This window comes from Homo sapiens, chromosome 3 (genome assembly GCF_000001405.40).
Source record: "Homo sapiens chromosome 3, GRCh38.p14 Primary Assembly".
NCBI lineage: Eukaryota > Metazoa > Chordata > Mammalia > Primates > Hominidae > Homo > Homo sapiens.
Window position 1 is genome coordinate 38,416,144 of NC_000003.12, and position 20,130 is coordinate 38,436,273.

General features: G+C 39.8%; 1 protein-coding gene across 11 annotated transcripts in view, besides 1 other annotated feature; it reads left to right on the forward strand.

Annotated features, from left to right (window-relative positions):
* The window catches only part of XYLB (xylulokinase), a 106,257-nt gene that overhangs the window by 69,359 nt on the left and 16,768 nt on the right, over window positions 1–20,130 (forward strand). For 5 of the 11 annotated variants that reach the window (XM_011534325.4, XM_017007596.2, XM_047449382.1 and 2 more), the window contains 2 exons: window positions 5,070–5,224; window positions 5,958–9,427. The exons of 1 other annotated variant lie outside the window; for it this stretch is intronic. In XM_011534325.4, the coding sequence (XP_011532627.1) occupies window positions 5,070–5,224; window positions 5,958–6,741 (939 nt within the window). In that variant the 3' untranslated portion in view covers window positions 6,742–9,427. Of the gene's footprint in view, window positions 1–5,069; window positions 5,225–5,957; window positions 11,044–20,130 lie in introns of those variants that run through there. 5 more of the 11 variants (NR_146068.2, XM_011534328.4, NM_001349178.2 and 2 more) reach the window with 4 other exon arrangements.
* Window positions 16,801–17,001: a silencer, noted in NCBI's record as "peak4613 fragment used in MPRA reporter construct". NCBI's record gives its function as "represses an SCP1 promoter by STARR-seq MPRAs in K562 erythroleukemia cells {active_cell/tissue: K562}" and the evidence as "EXISTENCE:reporter gene assay evidence [ECO:0000049][PMID:32103011]".

Below are 20,130 nucleotides of genomic sequence, written 5' to 3' on the forward strand. Positions count from 1 at the left end.
ATAGTATCAAACTATATATGCTTTGACAAGACAGAAGTAACAAAACAAAAAAGAAGGGAGAGAGGAAGAGGAAAATACAAAGAACTCCTTGTTGCTTAGGCAATATGTAGAAGTCAAATAGTATTATTTAAAGTTGACAAACCAAGTATATGAAGTGTAAGTAAGGAAAAAGGGAGATTTAGAGCATTAAAGGTGTACTATACTATTAATAGTATAGAATACATAGTATAATTACTAGAATAAAAATGTAAATCATCAATGCTCAAAGAAGCAATAATAAAGATTACAGTGAAAAACATGCAGTAAATGTACCATCATACAGTAAATATATTAAGTCCAAGCATATAAGTTAAATCAGTACATGTGAAAGGACTTACCTATTAAAAGGAATATCAGATTGGCTTACAAACCAATGTCTTATTGTCTGTTATTTATAAGAGACACATCTAAAGTAAGTGATTCAGGAGAGGCTAAAAAAAAAGAGATGGGCAAAAATAGACCAGACAAGTAGGACCACAAAAGGCAAAGATTACAGTATCCATATCTGAAAAGGTAGAATTCAGGAAAAAATAGACAAGACAATGAAGGATACATTAAAATGCTAAAAGCCACAATTCACAAGGAGGATATACTATTTATGAGTGTTAGAGCTTCAGTTATCTGGTTTGTCAACTTTAAGTGATATTCTTTGGCTCCTGCCTATCCCCTGTACAACAAAGAGCTCTTTCTACTTTCCTCTTTCTCTCTCCCTCCTTTTTCATTGTTTCCGTTGTGTTACTTCTGCCTTGTCAAAGCACATAACATTTGCATAACAAATTATGCAAGGAAAAATGAATAGAAACCTAGAAATAACAGAGAAATTTAAAACACCTCTCTCTCATCCAAGACTGAAGTTAAGGAGACAAAAAATACATATAACGATATAAGTGATCTGAGTAACAGTATCTATAAAGTAGATCTAATGAATATATGTTGAACTTTCTACCTTGATAATAGAGAATATTACTCTAGGGCAAGCGTGATGGCCCACACCTGTAATCCCAGCACTTTGGGAGGCTGAGGCAGGTGGATCGCTTGAGCTCAGAAGTTCGAGACCAGCTTGGGCAACATGGTGAAACCCCATCTCTACAAAAATTAGCCAGGCATGGTGGCAGGAGCCTGTAGTCCCTAGAAATTTATGACTCTTCTAGGAATCAAGATTGTTGTCCCACAGCAGCCTCACACACCTGGCATAGCAGTGATTAAACTCATTGGGAGCTATCTCAAAAATAATTGTGAGTGAGGCTTTTGGTACATAGAGTAGACTCCAATCAGACACATAAAACCCACAGTACATTTTAGGAAGCTATACTAATGGCATTAACCTGGATTAAAAGGGACTAAATGTTAAAAGACCCTGGACCCCCAACTTTCTATGGGCAACAAGCAGGCATAGTTGCTCAAAAGACAGTTTCTAGCCCAGGCATAGTAGCTCATGCCTGTAATCGCAGCACTTTGAGAGGCCAAGGCGGGCGGATCATGAAGTCAGGAGTTCAAGACCAGCCTGGTCAAAATGGTGAAACCCCATCTCTACTAAAAATACAAAAATTAGCTGGGCATGGTGGTGCATGCCTGTAGTCCCAGCTACTTGGGAGGCTGAGGCAGGAGAATCGCTTGAACCCGGGAGGTTGAGGTTGCAGCGAGCTGAGATCTCGCCACTGCACTCCAGCTTGGGTAACAGAGTGAGACTTCATCTCAAAAAAAAAAAAAAAAAAGTATATATATCAGGCCGGGCGTGGTGTCTCATGTCTGTAATCCTAGAACTTTAGGAAACCGAGGTGGGTGGATCACCTGAGGTCAGGAGTTCAAGATCAGCCTGGCCAACATGGTGAAACCCCGTCTCTACTAATAATACAAAAAAAATTAGGCAGGCGTGGTAGCAGACGCCTGTAATCCCAGCTACTCAGGAGGCTGAGACAGGAGAATCACTTGAACCTGGGAAGTGGAAGTTGCAGTAAGCTGAGATGGCAGCACTGTACTCCAGCCTGGGTGACAGAGCAAGACTCTGTCTCAAAAAAAAAAAAAAAAAAAGATATATATATATGTATGTATGTATCTATGTATCAGAAAAAAACGCAAGTACACTTTAAGCATATTTTAAAATGCTTACTGACAAAAATCAAAGAGTTTGATAAAATTCTGTGTTACCATGGCTGTGGAGAAATAGGCATTCGTATACATTTCTGGTAGGAGTGCAATTTTGTGAAACTCCTAAAGGGGGAAATTGGGCAACATCAACAAAACTAAATATGAGTATGACTTAACCATTCCAATAGGAATCTGCACAAAGACACAATTCCAACATACAAGACAACATATGTATAAGGTTATTGTGAAATTATTGATAACAGCGAAGTACTTGGGAAAAGGCACATATACATTAATATACGACAGATTGAATAGATTATAATGCATCCACACAATAAAAAAGAATGAGGAAGATCTCTATGTACCAATGATGGGTAAATTCCATAAACAAAGGACAGTTCTCTACTTAGTTCTTTTTATTCCACTTAACAAAGTTTTATAGTTTTTAGTGTATGTCTTACACATATTTTGTTAAATTATTTGATATTTCAAAAATGTTTTGTGATAAAATGTGTGACATTTATCACTTTAACCATGTTTTGTAATAAAATGTATGACATTTATCATTTTAACCATGGAAAAGTGTTCATTTTTTCAATTGTTTTTGCTAGCATTTAGGAATATTCCATGGTATGTTGAATTATTCATTGTGAACATATTAAGATCAAATTCAGTAGCATTAGGTATATTACCAATATTATGCTACCATCACCACCACACATTTCCAAAACCTTTTTATCATTCTAGACTGAAACTCTACTCACTAAACAATAACTCCTATTTTTCTCTCCCCAGCCCTTGATAACCGCTATCCTTTCTGTCTCTATGGATTTGCCTATTCTAGGTTTTTCATATAAGTGGTATCATACATGTTTCCTCTTGTTTCTGGCTTATTCCACTTCGTGTGATATTTTATTAAATTTTGCATGTGTAAAATAGTTAATATTTTAATGTTTTAAATTTAAAGGTTCATTCACATTGTAGCAAGGCTGAATAATATTCCGCTGTGTTTATATACCACATCCTGTTTATCCATTCATCCATCAGTGGACATTTAAGTTGTTTTCACCTTTTGGTGATTGTAAATAATGCTGCTATGAACATTGATGTACAAATATCTGAGTCCGTGCTTTCAATTTTTTGGGTATATACCTAGAAGTGGAATTGCTGAATCATATAGTAATTCTGTTTAACTTTTTGAGGACCCACCACAGTTTTCCACAGTAGCTGCACCATTTTACATTCCCCAGCAGTAATGCACAGGGATCTAGTTTCTCTACATCCTTGTCAACACTTGTTATTTTTCTTTATATATATATATATATATATATATAATAGCCATCGTTATGGATGTGAAGTGAAATTTCATTGTGGTTTTTATTTGTGTTTTCCTAATGACTAGTGATGTTAAGCACTTTTCATGTTCTTATTTGCCGTTTGTACACATTTAATTGTTTTGATGCTGTTGGAAAAGTGTTTCATTTTTTCAATTGTTTTTGCTAGCATGTAGAGATAGTTTATGGTATATGGAATTATTTGTTGCTAACATATAAAAATCATTTTTTTTTTAGATGGAGTCTTGCTCTGTCGCCAGGCTGGAATGCAGTGGCACCATCTCGGCTCACTGCAATCTCTGCCTCCTGGGTTCAAGCAATTCTCCTGCCTTAGCCTCCCGAGTAACTGGGATTACAGGCACCCCCAACCATGCCCAGCTAATTTTTGTATTTTTAGTAGAGACGGGATTTCACCATGTTGGCCAGGATGGTCTCAATCCCCCAACCTTGTGATCCACCCGCCTCAGCCTCCCAAAGTGCTGGAATTAACAGGCGTGAGCCACCACGCCCAGCCATAAGAATCAATTTTTGTTTGATTTTGTGTCTTGCAACTTTATTAAATTCACTTACTAGTTATGGTAGTATTTTGTATTAGTAGGATATGTAGGGTTTCTATCCATCATGTCATGTCATCTATAAAAACAAAGACAGTTTTCTTCTCTTCAATCTGTAAGCATTTTATTTCATTTTCTTGCCTTTCTGCAATGGCTAGAATGTCTAGTATAGTGTTGAATAGAAGCAGGGAGAGCAATAATCCTTGCCTTGTTCCTGATCTTAGCGGACAGCATTTTATCACTAAGAGTGTGTGTGTGAATACGCCCTCCATCGGGCTAAGAAATTTCCCTTTCATTTCTTGCTGGAGGTGGGGAGGAATATTTAAAAAGAATGTGTAGGTTTGTCTTGAATTTTGTTAAATGTTTTGCATGTATGTGTTATGGTTTTGGTATTATGTGTTCCTTAAATATTTGATTGAATTCACCAGTGAAACCATCTTAGTTAGATGTTTTCTTTGTGGAACTTTTAAGTGAAAACTCAATTTACATAAAAATATATGGCCCTTCAGATTTTGTACTTCTTTTTGTGTCAGTGTTAATAATACGTATCTTTCAAAGAATATCCCCCTTTTTTTTTGGTAGAGATAGGGTTTTGCCATGTTGTTGGTAGCAAGCCCTAACCCTGTCATAAACAGGCCTTAAATAAACTGGCCATAAACAGGATTTCTGCAGCAATGGGACATGCTCATGATGGCTGTCATGCACACTGCTAAAAGTTGTTGGTTTACTAGAGCAGGGCAAGGAACACCTGGCCCCGCCCGGAGCAAAAAACTGCTCAAACCACAAACGATAGCAGGAAAGGCCTGTGCCTTGGCAGCATGTTTTTGCTGCAGATAATCAGCCAGAGCCTGTTTCTCTGCTCCTCGCTGAGATTGCTTTGTTTCCCATAAAGATTGCTTTTAGCTAATCTACAATCTATAGAAGCAATGCTTATCACTGGCTTTCTGTCAATAAATGTGTGGGTCAAGCTCTGTTTGTGGCTCTCAGCTCTGAACGCTGTCACCCCTGATCCCCACTTTATACTGTATTCCTGTGTCTGTCTTAATTACTGTAGCGCCGCTGGGTTGGAGTCTCCACGACCGAGCTGGTCTCGGCAAGTGGTGCCCAACACGGGGGCTCGAACCTGGGTCGAATAGTCGCCAGAGCGATGGTTAGAAAATGTGGAACTACACTGGAGGACACCCGAGTACTGTTAAAGCAATCCTCATGGTGAGTAAGAAGGGGAGCTCAGAAGCATCAGGGTAACAATGGGACAAGGGTCGAGCAGGCATGAGGCTTATTTGAGTCTGCTTCGCCATCTCAGAAAAGGAGGAGTGAACGTTAGCACTAGCTGACTTACGCAGCTTTTTAGTGCAGTAGAGAAATATTGCCGCTGGTTTCCGGACCGAGGAACTGTGAATGTAGAGGTCTGGGAAAAGGTAGGCAGCACACTGAAAAAGGCATATAAGGATGGTGTTGGGGATATTCCTATAACTGGTCAGTGTGGGCTCTGGTTCATTCCACCTTGGAGCCTTTCCACACAGATGACGAGGAGGAGGAATCAGAGGAAGAAGGAGAGTCTAACGAAGTAACAGAAGAGGTGACAGAGCAAGTTTGCTTGCCAGCTAAAGCAGCAGAGTAGGGAGAGGTTTGTCCCTACCCCTCTACACCCCCTCATTATTTTGAAGAAAAGGAGTGGCCTGACCCTCCGAATCTTTCTTTTCCAGAGGACACTGGGCGAAAAGTAGTTGCCCCAGTGACTGAGCAGTGCCTCGAGCAACCGCTGTCAGTTCTATTCAGGCAGGAATCCAGCAAGCTAGACAAGAGGGTGATATGGATGCTTGGCAGTTTCCTGTTAGAATACACCCACCTGATCAACAGGGAAATATTATGGCTACATTTGAGTCTTTTCCTTTTAAAATACTTAAAGAATTTAAACAATTTATTAATCAACATGGACCAGGTTTTCCTTTTGTAATGGGACTGTTAAAGAATGTTGCTGTCTCCAGTCAGATGATGCCAGCGGTATGGCAGGATCACTTCTAGGTAGGTCTAATTTACATTTAAAAGGAGTACAAGTACAAACAGGAGTCATTGATTCAGATTACAGTGGGGAAATTCAAATTGTTATATCTACTTCTGTTCCCTGGAAAGCAGAGCCAGGAGAGTGTATAGCACAACTCCTGATTGTGCCATATGTGGAAATGGGGAGAAGTGAAACTAAACAGACAGGAGGATCTGGAAGTACAAATAAGCAAGGGAGAGCAGCTTACTGGGTAAATCAAATTACTGATAAACATCCTACCTGTGAAATAACTATTCAGGGAAAGAAATTCAAAGGGTTGGGAGATACAGGAGCGGACGTTTCAATCATTTCTCTACAGCACTGGCCGTCTGTGTGGCCAATTCAATCCGCTCAATTTAACATAGTTGGAGTTGGTAAAGCCCCTGAAGTATATCAAAGTATTTATATTTTGCATTGTGAAGGACCCCATGAACAATCTGGGACTATTCAGCCAATTGTAACTTCTGTACCTATAAATTTATGGGGGAGAGATTTATTACAGCAATGGGGAGCACAAGTTCCCCATTACATAGAACAATTATATAGCCCTCAAAGTCAGCATGTGATACAAGAGATGGGGTATGTGCCTGGCATGGGATTAGAAAAAAATTTACAAGGGTTAAAAAAACCAGTTCAAGCGGAAGGAAAAAATTCTTGTCAGGGTTTAGGGTATCATTTTTGATGGCGGCCATTGTTAAGCCTCCGGAACCTATACCTTTAAAATGGTTAACAAGTAAGCCAATTTGGATAGAACAATGGTTGCTGAGTAAAGAAGAACTGGAGGCTTTAGAGGTCTTAGTTACTGAACAATTAGAAAAAGGACATATAGCTCTAACGTTTCCCCCCTGGAATTCTCCACTCTTTGTTATTATTATTATTATTTTTCTTAAGATGGAGTCTCGCTCTGCTGCCCAGGCTGGAGTGCAGTGGTGCGATCTTGGCTCACTGCAAGCTCCGCCTCCTGGGTTCATGCCATTCTCCTGCCTCAGCCTCCCGAGTAGCTGGGACTATAGGCGCCCACCACCACGCCCGGCTAATTTTTTGTATTTTTAGTGGAGACGGGGTTTCACTGCATTAGCCAGGATGGTCTCGATCTCCTGACCTTGTGATCCACCCACCTTGGCCTCCCAAAGTGCTGGGATTACAGGTGTGAGCCACCATGCCCAGCCCTCCAGTCTTTGTTAAGAAAAAATGTGATAAATGGAGAATGTTGACAGATCTTAGAGCCATTAATTCGGTTAGACAACCTATGGGAGCATTGCAGCCTGGACTGCCTTCTGCTGCTATGATTCCAAAAAATTGGCCTTTAATAGTCATAGATTTAAAAGACTGTTTCTTTATTATCCCCTTAGCTGAGCAAGACTGTGAATGGTTTGCATTTACAATTCCTGTGGTAAACAACCTGCAGCCTGCTTAGCGTTTTCATTGGAAAGTGTTGCCACAAGGCATGTTAAACAGTCCAATGATTTGTCAGACTTATGTAGGACAAGCAATTGAACCTACTCGTAAAAAATTTTCACAGTGTTACATTATTCATTATATGGATGATATACTTTGTGCTGCCCCCACTCAGGAAATATTACTCCAATGTTATAATCACTTGCAAAACTCGATTTCTCATGCTGATTTAATTATAGCTCCTGACAAAATTCAGACTACTACTCCTTACTCCTACTTGGGGACCTTAGTAAATGACACTACCATTGTGCCACAGAAAGTAACCATACATAGGGATCAATTGAAAACATTGAATGACTTTCAAAAATTACTGGAAAACATTAATTGGATATGACCTGCTCTAGGCATTCCTACCTCTGCCATGAGTAATCTCTTTTCTATCCTTAGAGGAGATCCCAGTCTCACAAACCCTTGGCAATTAACAAAGGAGGCTGAGGCAGAGTTACAGCTGATTGAAAAGCAAGTGCATAAAGCTCAAATAAATAGAATAGATCCAGAAAAGATCCAGAAAAGATTGATTTTTCCAACTCAGCATTCACCTACTGGTGTTGTTGTTCAAGAGCAAGATCTTGTAGAATGGCTTTTTCTTCCACATACTAATCCATGGACTCTAACTCCTTATTTGGATCAAATTGCTACTCTGATAGGAAATGGGAGAACTCAAATTGTTAAATTACAAGGATATGATCCTGGAAAAATTTTTGTTCCCCTTACAAAGGCACAAATACAAAAAGCCTTTATAAATAGTCTTAATTGCAAACCCATTTAGCTGATTTCATAGGTGTTCTTGATAATCACTTTCCAAAGACAAAATTATTTCAATTTTTGAAATTAACTAATTGGATTCTCCCTAGAATAACTAAATTTAAACGAATTGAAGGTGCGGAAAATGTTTTTACAGATGGGTCTAGTAATGGTGAAGCTTCTAACTCTGGATCAAAAAGTAAAGTTTTCCAGACGCCCTATACTTCAGCTCAAAAAGCAGAGCTTGTAGTTGTAATTGAGGTGCTGACGGTTTTGAGATGCCTGTCAATGTAATTTCTGATTCTTCATACGTGGTTCATTCCACACAATTAATTGAAAATGTTCAGTTACAATTTCATGCAGATAAACAACTGATGACTTTATTTACCCAATTGCAAACAGCAGTTAAGAGTAGAATGCACCCTTTTTACATAACTCGTATTAGAGGTCATACACCTCTTCCAGGACCTTTGACTGCAGGAAATCAAATTGCTGATTGCCTAGTTGCTATGGCATTATCTAATGCTAGACACTTTGATAATTTAACCCATGTTAATGCCTCTGGTCTCAAACGCAGATACAGCATTACCTGGAAAGAAGCTAAAGCTATTATCCAGCAATGCCCAACTTGCCAAATGGTGCATTCCTCGTCTTTTACAGGAGTAGTTAATACTTGAGGATTGGAACCTAATTCTCTTTGGCAAATGGATGTCACACATGTTCCCTCGTTTGGGAGACTAGCTTATGTACATGTATGTGTAAATACATTTTCTCACTTTGTTTGGGCTACATGCTAAACAGGGGAATCTTCTGCCTGTATTAAATGGCATCTTCTGCAATGCTTCACAGTCATGGGCATTCCAGCTTCAGTTAAAACAGACAATGCTCCAGGCTATACTAGCCAAGCTCTAGCTATATTTTTCTCTATATGGAATATTAAACACATTACTGGCATCCCATATAATTCACAAGGACAAGCCATTGTGGAAAGAATGAATCACTCCCTAAAACAACAATTACAAAAGCAGAAGAGGAGGATCAATGATTATAGGAATGGTGATTATAGGACTCTGCACATACAACTAAATCTAGCATTATTAACTTTAAATTTTTTGAGCCTGCCTAAAGGCCGGATGCTACCAGCAGCTGAACAGCATCTACAGAAACCAGCTTCAAAGACAGAAGCAGAACAACTGGTTTTGTGGAGAGATCCAATAACAAAAAGTTGGGAAATAGGTAAAATAATAACATGGGGTAGAGGTTATGCTTGTGTTTCTCCAGGCCAAAACCAGCGGCCAATTTGGATATCATCAAGACACCTGAAACTTCATCATGAGCCAGATGCTGAGGAAGAGATTTTGGGAGGAACCCAAGGACCTCCCACTTGCAGCCATGTTGAGACTGACAATAAGTCCACCTTTCCTGCTTGTAGTGGGTCATTTAAAACTTGATCTCCCTAATCATCATGGGACTTGTCAAGAATGTAGATTGTTTTCTTGTGTGAATTCTTCCTTGTATAATACTGATCATTCTATTTTAGCGGTAAGAACCCAAGAAGGAGTATGGATACCTGTAAAGCTTTCTGGTCCTTGGGAAGCCTCTCCTTCTGTGCATATTATTACTGAAATTCTTCAAAAGATTCTGAGATGCTCTCAGTGTTTCATTGCTACTTTAATTTTAATCATTATGGGATTGATTGCTGTCACAGCTACTGCCGCGGCAGCTGGAGTTGCTTTGCATTTCACAGTACAAACAGCAGACTATGTAAATAATTGGCAGAAAAATTCTACTTTGCTGTGGAATTCCCAAACTAATATAGACCAGAAACTAGCTAATCAAATCAATTATCTCCAACAATCTGTAATGTGGCTAGGAGATTGAGTAGTTAGTCTAGAATATAGAATGCAGTTACAATGTGATTGGAATACTTCTGATTTTTGCATTACTCCTCATCTGTATAATGAAAGACAGCATGAGTGGGAAAGAGTTAAGAAACATTTGAAAGGTCATACTGGAAATTTACTTTAGATATTATGCAACTGAAGGAACAAATATTTCAATCTTCTCTGGCACATCTGACACTAATGCCAGGAACTGAAGTGCTTGAAGGCGCTTCAGATGGATTAGCAGCTATTAACCCATTAAAATGGATCAAGACACTTGGAGGCTCTGCAATTTGAATGATGACTGTGCTTTTAATTGGTGTTGTTTGTCTTTGTATATCAAATTGAAATACAAATGAAATTGGTCATTTGTACATCTGCAAATGTGGATCGCGAATCCTGCGAGAAGTAGCCTACTGTGACAAAGCTGCCTATGCCTTTATCACTTTGCAAAAACAGAAAGGTGGGACACGTTGGTAGCAATCCCTAACCCTGTCATAAACAGACCTTAAAGAAACTGGCCATAAACAGGATTTCTGCAGCAATGGGACATGCTCATGATGGCTGTCATGCACACTGCTAAAAGTTGTTGGTTTACTAGAGCAGGGCAAGGAACACCTGGCCCCGCCCGGAGCAAAAAACTGCTCAAACCACAAACGATAGCAGGAAAGGCCTGTGGCTTGACAGCATGTTTTTGCTACAGATAATCAGCCAGAGCCTGTTTCTCTGCTCCTCACTGAGATTGCTTTGTTTCCCATAAAGAATGCTTTTAGCTAATCTACAATCTATAGAAGCAATGCTTATCACTGGCTTTCTGTCAATAAATGTGTGGGTCAAGCTCTGTTTGTGGCTCTCAGCTCTGAAGGCTGTCAGCCCCCTAATCCCCACTTTATACTGTATTCCTGTGTCTTTGTCTTAATTCCTCTAGTGCCGCTTCGTTAGGTCTCCATGACTGAGCTGGTCTTGGCACCATGTTGCTCAGACTAGTCTTGAACTCCTGCAATCCTCCCACAAAGTGCTGGGATTACAGGCGTGAGCCACTGCACCTGGCCACAATCTTCCATTTTAACTTGTCAAATTTATTAGCATAAACTTGTTTAAATATTCCTTTATTATCCTTGCATGTCTGTAGTACTTGTAGTGAAAGAATTCCCTTTCATTTCTGAAACTGGTCATTTGTGTTTTTTCTGAATCAGACTAGCTAGAAGTTTATCAATTTTATTGATCACACTTTTTTCCTATTTTATTGATTTCCATTCTTTATTATTTACTTCAGGTTTAATTTGCTCTGCTTTTCCTAGCTTTTCTTTTCTTTTCTTTTTTTGAGACAGAATCTCATTCTGTATTCCAGGTTGGAGTGCAGTGGCATGGTCTTGGCTTACTGCAACCTCCGCCTCCCAGTTCAAGCAATTCTTCTGCCTCAGCCTCCTGAGTAGCTGGGACTACAGGCGCCCACCACCACACCTGGCTAATTTTTGTATTTTTAGTAGAGACAGGTTTCATCATGTTGGGCAGGCTGGTCTAGAACTCCTGACTTCAAGTGATTCGTCCACCTTGGCCTCCCAAATTTCTGGGATTACAGGTGTGAGCCACCATGCCTGGTCAATGTTTTTTTAGCTTTTCAAGGTGGAAATCTACATAACTGATTTAAGACATTTCCTCTTTACTAACATAAGCACTTAACATTATCAGCTTCATTGTATGCACTGCTTTAACTGCATCCCGTAAATTTTCATATGTTCTGTTTCCATTGTCATTCTGCTCAAAATGTTTTCTGATTTCCTTTGCTGTTTTTCGTTAATTCTTAGGTTAATTCCCAAATATTAGGGGATTTTCCAGATAACTTTTTGCTAGAATTTGGTTTTGTTATTTAATGTCATCTGTGTGGTCTAAGAATATGCTCTGCATAAATTCAAGTTTTTAAAACTTACTGACATTTATTTTTTGGCCCAGCATATAGTTTAATTTTGGGGAATGTTATGTGTGCATTTGAAAAAAATGTGTTTTCTCTCTTGTTGAGTGTTCTGTAAATGACAATAAGGTCGAATTAGATTGATGGTGTTGTTCAAGTCTTTTATGTCTTAACCAATTTTCTATATACTTGTTATACCAATTACTGAGAGAGAAGTAGTAAAATCTCCAACCATAATTGTGTATTTCTTCATTTTTCCTTTTAGTTTTTTCCATTTTTCTTCATATACTTTGAGGTTCTATTACTTGGACATACATATTTGGGACTGTTATATCTTCATGATGATTTGACCCCACTTATGAAATGTTCCTCTTTTTCCCTGTTAATATTCACTGTTCTGAACACTGTTTCCTGATATTACTATAGCCACTCCATCATTTGTTAGATTAGTATTTGCATGTTATATGTTTCTTTAAATCATTTAAATTTTAATCTTCTTGAACTGTAAACACTGTCTTTTGGTTAGAGTGTTTAGAGTCCATTTACATAATGTAATTATTGATGTGGTTTCTTTAAATCCCACATCTTACTATTTGTTTTCTATTTGTTCCAGCTGTTCATTGTCCTCTCCCCTTTAACTGCCTTCTTTTGAGTTATTTGAGTATTTTTTGTTATCTCATTTTATCTCCACTCCATATATTGGTTAGATCTCTGTGATGGATAATGTTAAATGCTGCTCAGGTTCCTCTTCAAGAAGTCATTATTGTTTCCCCTGCTGGGAGACCTGTTGACAGATAGCTTTCTGCTGACAGACCCTTCAGGGATTGCCACGATTGCAGAGAGCTACCTTGCTCAAGGTCATTCGCCTTCCCAAGGTGGCTAACATCCAGTGCTGAATGCAAGAATATTAAGGTCTGACCATCTCAATCCAACTCAGCACAATTCTGAAGAGTCATTCTAGTTCTGTAGCTTCATGTGGGCTTGGCCAAGGCTATTATTGGACTAGCATAACAACCTGACTTCTCATCCTGCCCACCCCTGCTTGTGTCACCTTCCTTCTACAGGTATTTATCCCAAGAGCACTCCTTAATAAACATCCTTCACACTGAACTCCATCTCTGCTCATGGGAATCAACCTGCAACAGCTTCTTTGTTTTAGTTTTTAGTGGTTGCTGTAGGCATTGCCAATATGCATATTTTAAGCTATTACAGTTGTGTTAGTTTGCTAGGGCTGCCATAACAAAATACTACAGACTGGGTGGCTTAAACAACAGACATTTATTTCCTCTTAGTTCTGGAGGCCAGAAGTCCAAGATCAAGGTGTTCACAGATGTGGCTTCTCCTGAGGCCTCTCTCTTTTTTGAATTTTTTATTATTATACTTTAAGTTCTAGGGTAAATGTGCACAACGTGCAGGTTTGTTACATAAGTATATATGTATTTGGTTTGCTGCACCCATTAACTCGTCATTTACATTGGGTATTTCTCCTAATGCTATCCCTCCCCCAGGCCCCCACCCCATGACAGGCCCTGGTGTGTGATGTTCCCCTCCCTGTGTCCAAGTGTTCCCATTGTTCAATTCCCACCTATGAGTGAGAACATGTGGTGTTTGGTTTTCTGTCCTTGAGATAGTTTGCTCAGAATGATGGTTTCCAGCTTCATCCATGTCCCTGCAAAGGACATGAACTCATCCTTTTTTATGGCTGCATAGTATTTCATGGTGTATATGTGCCACATTTTCTTAATCCAGTCTATCATTGATGGACATTTGGTTGGTTCCAAGTCTTTGCTATTGTGAATAGTGCCACAGTAAACATATGTGTTCGTGTGTCTTTATAGTAGCATGATTTATAATCCTTCGGGTATATACCCAGTAATAGGATCACTGGGTCAAACAGTATTCCTAGCTCTAGATCTTTGAGGAATCACCACACTGTCTTCCACAATGGCTGAACTAATTTACACTCCCACCAACAATGTAAAAGCATTCCTATTTCTCTACATCCTCTCCAGCATCTGTTGTTTCCTGACTTTTTAATGATTGCCATTCTAACTGGCGTGAGACAGTATCTCACTGTGGTTTGATTTGCATTTATCTGATGACCAGTGATGATGAGCATTTTTTCATGGGTCTGTTGGCTGCATAAATGTCTTTTTTTGAGAAGTGTCTGTTCATATCCTTTGCCCACTTTTTGATGGGGTTGTTTGATTTTTTCTTGTAAATTTGTTTAAGTTCTTTGTAGATTCTCGATATTAGCCCTTTGTCAGATGAGTAGATTGCAAAAATTTTCTCCCATTCTGTAGGTTGCCTTTCACTCTGTTGGTAGTTTCTTTTGCTGTGCAGAAGCTCTTTAGTTTAATTAGATCCCAAATGTCTATTTTGGCTTTTGTTGCCATTGCTTTTGGTGTTTTAGTCATGAAGTCCTTGCCCATGGCTATGTCCTGAATGGTATTGCCCAGGTTTTATTCTAGGGTTTTTATGGTTTTAGGTCTAACGTTTAAGTCTTTAATCCATCTTGAATTAATTTTTGTATGAGGTGTAAAGAAGGGATCCAGTTTCAGCTTTCTACACATGGCTAGCCAGTTTTCCCAGCACCATTTATTAAATAGGGAATCCTTTCCCCATTTCTTGTTTTTCTCAGGTTTGTCAAAGATCAGATAGTTGTAGATATGTGGTGCTATTTCTGAGGCCTCTGTTCTGTTCCATTGATCTATATATCTGTTTTGGTACCAGTACCATCCTGTTTTGGCTACTGTAGCCTTGTAGTATAGTTTGAAGTCAGGTAGCATGATGCCTCCAGCTTTGTTCTTTTTGCTTAGGATTGTCTTGGCAATGTGGGCTCCTTTTTGGTTCCATATGAACTTTAAAGTAGTTTTTTCCAATTCTGTGAAGAAAGTCATTGGTAGCTTGATGGGGATGGCATTGAATCTATAAATTACCTTGGGCAGTATGGCCATTTTCCAGTATTGATTCTTCCTATCCACGAGCATGGAATGTTCTTCCATTTGTTTGTATCCTCTTTTATTTCATTGAGCAGTGGTTTGTAGTTCTCCTTGAAGAGGTCCTTCACGTCCCTTGGAAGTTGGATTCCTAGGTATTTCTCTTTGTAGCAATTGTGAATGGGAGTTCACTCATGATTTGGCTCTCTGTTTGTCTGTTCTTGGTGTATAGGAATGCTTGTGATTTTTGCACATTGATTTTGTATCCTGACACTTTGCTGAAGTTGCTTATCAGCTTAAGGAGATTTGGGGCTGAGACGATGGGGTTTTCTAAACATACGATCATGTCGCCTGCAAAGAGGGACAATTTGACTTCCTCTTTTCCTAATTGAATACCTTCTATTTCTTTCTCTTGCCTGATTGCCCTGGCCAGAACTGGCAACACTTTGTTGAATAGGAGTGGTGAGAGAGGGCATCCCTGTCTTGTGCCAGTTTTCAAAGGGTATGCTTCCAGTTTTTGCACATTCAGTATGATATTGGCTGTGGGTTTGTCATAAAGAAAAGAGGTTTAATTGACTCATGTTTCCCCTAAGGCTGGGGAGGCCTTAGGAAACTTAGAATCATGACAGAAGGCACCTCTTCACTGGGCAGCAGGAGACAGAATCAGCACTGAGTGAAGGGGAAGCCTCCTATAATACCATCAGACCTCATGAGAACTCACTATCATTAGAACAGCATGGGGAAACTGCCCCCATGATTTAATTATCTCCACCTGGTCTTGCCCTTGACACATGAGGATTGTTATAATTCAAGATTGAAAAAAAAGATAGTTACTTCCTAGACACAATGGAGGTACAGGCATTGGGTAAATATAACTGTTCCAAAGGGGAGACATTGGCCAAAACAAAGGGGCCACAGTCCCCATGCAAGATTTGGGTGGCGTCACAGCCAAGCCACATCATTCCACCCTGGCACCTCCCAAATCTCTGTCCTCACATTTCAAAACACAATCATTCTCTTCCAGCAGTCCCCGAAAGTCTGAACTTAATTTCAGCATTAACCCAGAAGTCCAGGTCCAAAGTCTCATCTGAGACAAGGCAAGTCCCTTCCACCTAGCCTGTAAAATCAAAAGAAAGATAGTTACTTCTGGCCAGATACAGTGGCTCACGCCGGTAATCCCAAGACTTTTGGAGGCCAAGGTGTGTGGATCTCGAGGTCAGGAGATTGAGACCATCCTGGTCAACATGGTGAAATCCCATCTCTACTAAAAATACAAAAATTAGCTGGGCATGGCGGTGTGTGCCTGTAATCCCAGCTACTCGGGAGGCTGAGGCAGGAGAATCGCTTGAACCCAGGAGGCAGAGATTGCAGTGAGCTGAGATTGCGACCCTGCACTCCTGCCTGGTGACAGAGCTAGACTCCGTCAAAAAAAAAATTTACTTCCTAGATACAATAGAGGTACAGGCATTGGGTAAATATACCTGTTCTAAAGGGGAGACATTGGCCAAAACAAAGGGGCTACAGGCCTCATGCAAGTCCGAAATCCAACAAGGCAGCAATTAAATCTTAAAGCTCTGAAATAATCTCCTTTGACTCTATTTCTCACATCCAGGTCATGCTGATGCAAGAGGTGGGCCCCCATGGCTTTGGCCAGCTCCACCTCTGTGGCTTTGCTGGGCACAGCCCCACTCTTGGCTTTCACGGGCTGGTGTTGAGTGTCTGCATTTTTTCCAGGCACACGGTGCAAGCTGTCAGTGAATCTACCACTCTGGGGTCTGGAGGATGGTGGCCCTCTTCTCACAGCTCCAGTAGACAGTGCCCCAGTGGGAACTCTCTGTGGGGGTTCCAACCCCACGTTTCCCTTCTGTGCTGCCCTAGCAGAGTTTCATCCATGAGGGCTCCGTCCCCCAGCAAACTTCTGCCTGGACATCCATGCATTTCATCTGAAATCTAGGCGTAGATTCCCAAACCTCAATTCTTTACTTCTCTGCACCTGCAGGCCCAACACCATGTGGAAGCTGCCAAGGCTCAGGGCTTGCACCCTCTGAAGCCACAGCCCAAGCTGTACCATGGCTGAAGCAGCTGGGATGTAAGGCACCAAGTGTCTAGGCTGCACACAACAAAGAGGGCCTGGGCCTGGCCCACAGAACCATTTTTTCCTCCTAGGCCTCCAGGCCTGTGATGGGGAGGGCTGCCCTGAAGTTCTCTGACATGCCCTGGAAACATTTTCCCCATTGTCTTGGTGATTAACATTTGGCTCCTCATTACTTATGTAAATTTCTGCAGCAGGCTTGAATTTCTCCTCAGAAAATTGGTTTTTCTTTCCTATTGCATCATCAGGCTGCAAATTTTCCAAACTTTTATGCTCTGCTTCCTTTGAACGCTTTGTCAATTAGAAATTTCTTCCACCAGATACCTTAAATTATCTCTCTCAAGTTCAAAGTTCCACAGATCTCTAGGGCAAGGGCAAAATGCTGCCAGTCTCTTTGCTAAAGCATAGCAAGAGTCAACTTTATTCCAATTCCCAAAAAGTTCTTCATCTCCATCTGAAACAACCTCAGCCTGGACTCCATTGTCCATATCACTGTCAGCATTTTGGTCAAAGCCATTCAAAAAGTCTCTAGGAAGTTCCAAACTTTCCCACATTTTCGTGTCTGCAAACCATTCTGACCTCTGCCTCTTACCCAGTTCCAAAGTTGCTTCCACATTTTTAAGTATCCTTATAGCAGCACCCCCTTCCTGGTACCAATTTACCCTATTAGGCTGTTCTCAAGCTCCTATGAATAAATACCCGAGACTAGGTAATTTATAAAGAAAAGAAGTTTAATTGACTCACAGTTCCACATGGCTGGAGAGGCCTCAGGAAACTTACAATCATGATAGAAGACACCTCTTTACAGGGCAGCAGGAGAGAGCCTGAGCACTGAGTGAAGGTGGGGAAGCCCCTTATAAAAACATCAGATCTTGTGAGAACTCACTCACTATCATGAGAACAGCATGGGGAAAACCATCTCCATGTTTCAATAATCTCCACCTGGTCCTGCCTTTGACATGTGGGGATTATTACAATTCAAGATGAGATTTGGGTGGGGACACAGCCAAACCATATCAGGTCTCTTTCACAGTACATTATAGTCTGATTTTCTAAAGTCCAAGATAATGATTGATTCCTAAAAACAGCAGGAGAAAAGCATCTATTACCTATAAAGGAAAGCCTATGAGACTAACAGTGGATTTCTCAGCAGAAACCTTACAGGTCAGAAGATAATTGGATGATATATTCAAAGTGCTGGAAGAAAAATGTCAACAGCCAAAAATATTTTATTCAACAAAGTTACCCTTCATAAATGAAGGAGAAATGTCTTTCCCAAATAAGCAAATGCTGAGGGAATTTGTTACCACTAGACTGGTCCTACAAGAAATGCTCAAGGGAGCCCTAAACTCAGAAACAAAAGGACAACATTTACCATCATGAAAACACATGAAACAAAATTCACTGGTAAAGCAATCACACAAAGGAGGAAGAGAAAGAGCTCAAATAGTACCACTACAGAAATCCACCAAGCCACAATGACAATAAGAGAAAAAGAAACAAAGAATATGCATAACAACCAGGAAACAACAATATGATAGGAACAAAGCCTCATATATCAATAATAACCTTGAATGAAAATGGTTTAAATTCTTCACTAAAAAGATATTCACTGATTGGAGCTAGGTGTGGTGGCTCATGCGTATAATCCCAACACTTTGGGAGGCAGAGGCAGGTGGATTGCTTGAGGCCAGGAGTTCAAGACCAGCCTGGCTAACATAGCAAAACCCCATCGCCATATCATAGCGAAACAAAAATTAGCTACGTGTGGTGGTACGTGCCTGTAATCCCAGCTACTTGGGTGGCTGAGGCTGAGAATCACTTGAACCCAGGAGGCAGAGATTGCAGTGAGCCGAGATCACACCACTTCACTCCAGCCTGGGTGACAGAGTAAGACAGACTGATCAAATAGATTTTTTTAAAAAGATGATCAAACTGTATGTTGCTTACAGGAAATTCACCTTATCAGTAAAGGCACACATAGACTGAAAGTAAAGAAATGGAAAAAGATATTCCATACAAACAGAAACCAAAAGTGAGCAGGAGTATCTATGCTTATTATACTACATAAAACAGACTTTAAGTCAAGACCAGTAACACACACACACACACACACAAAGTCATTTTATAATGATAAAGGAATCAATCTAGCAAGAGGATATAACAGTTATAAACATATATGCACCCAACATTGGAGCACCCATATTCATAAAGCAAATATTATTAGATCTAAATAGAGAGATAGCCTGCAATACAATCATAGTGGGGGACTTCAACACCCCACTTTCAGCATTAGACAGATCATCTAGACAGAAAATCAACAAATAAACATTGGACTTAAGCTGGACTTCAGACCAAATGAACCTTACAGTGATTTACAGAACTTTCTATCCAACGACTGCAGAATATAGATTCTTTTCATCAGCATACAACACATTCTCCAGGATAGACCATATGTTAGGCCACAAAACAAGCCTCAACAATTTTTTAGAAATCAAATTCATATCAAGTATCTCCTCTGACCACAATGGAATAAAACTAGAAATCAATACCAAGAGGAACTTTGGAAACTATAGAAATATATGGAAATTAAACAACATGCTCCTGAACGACAATTGAGTCAATGAAGAAATTGAGATGGAAATAAAAAAAAATTCTTTAAGGAAATGAAATATACCAAAATCTGTGGGATACAGCAAAAGTAGTGCAAAAAGGGAAGTTATAGCAGTAACTGCCTACATCAAAAAATAGAAAGATCACAAGTTAACAAGCTAACAATGTACCTCAAAGGACTGAAAAAGTAAGAACAAACCAAACTCCAAATTAGCAGAAAAAAGGAATAAAGATCAGAGCAGAACTAAATGAAAAACAGACTAAGAAAATACAAAGGATAAACAAAACAAAAAGTTTGCTCTTCAAACAGATAAACAACATGGATAAATCACTAGCCAGACTAACCAAGAAAAAAAGAGAGAAGACCCAAATAAAATCAGAAATGAAAAAGGAGACATTACAACTGGTAACACGAAAATATAAGAGATCA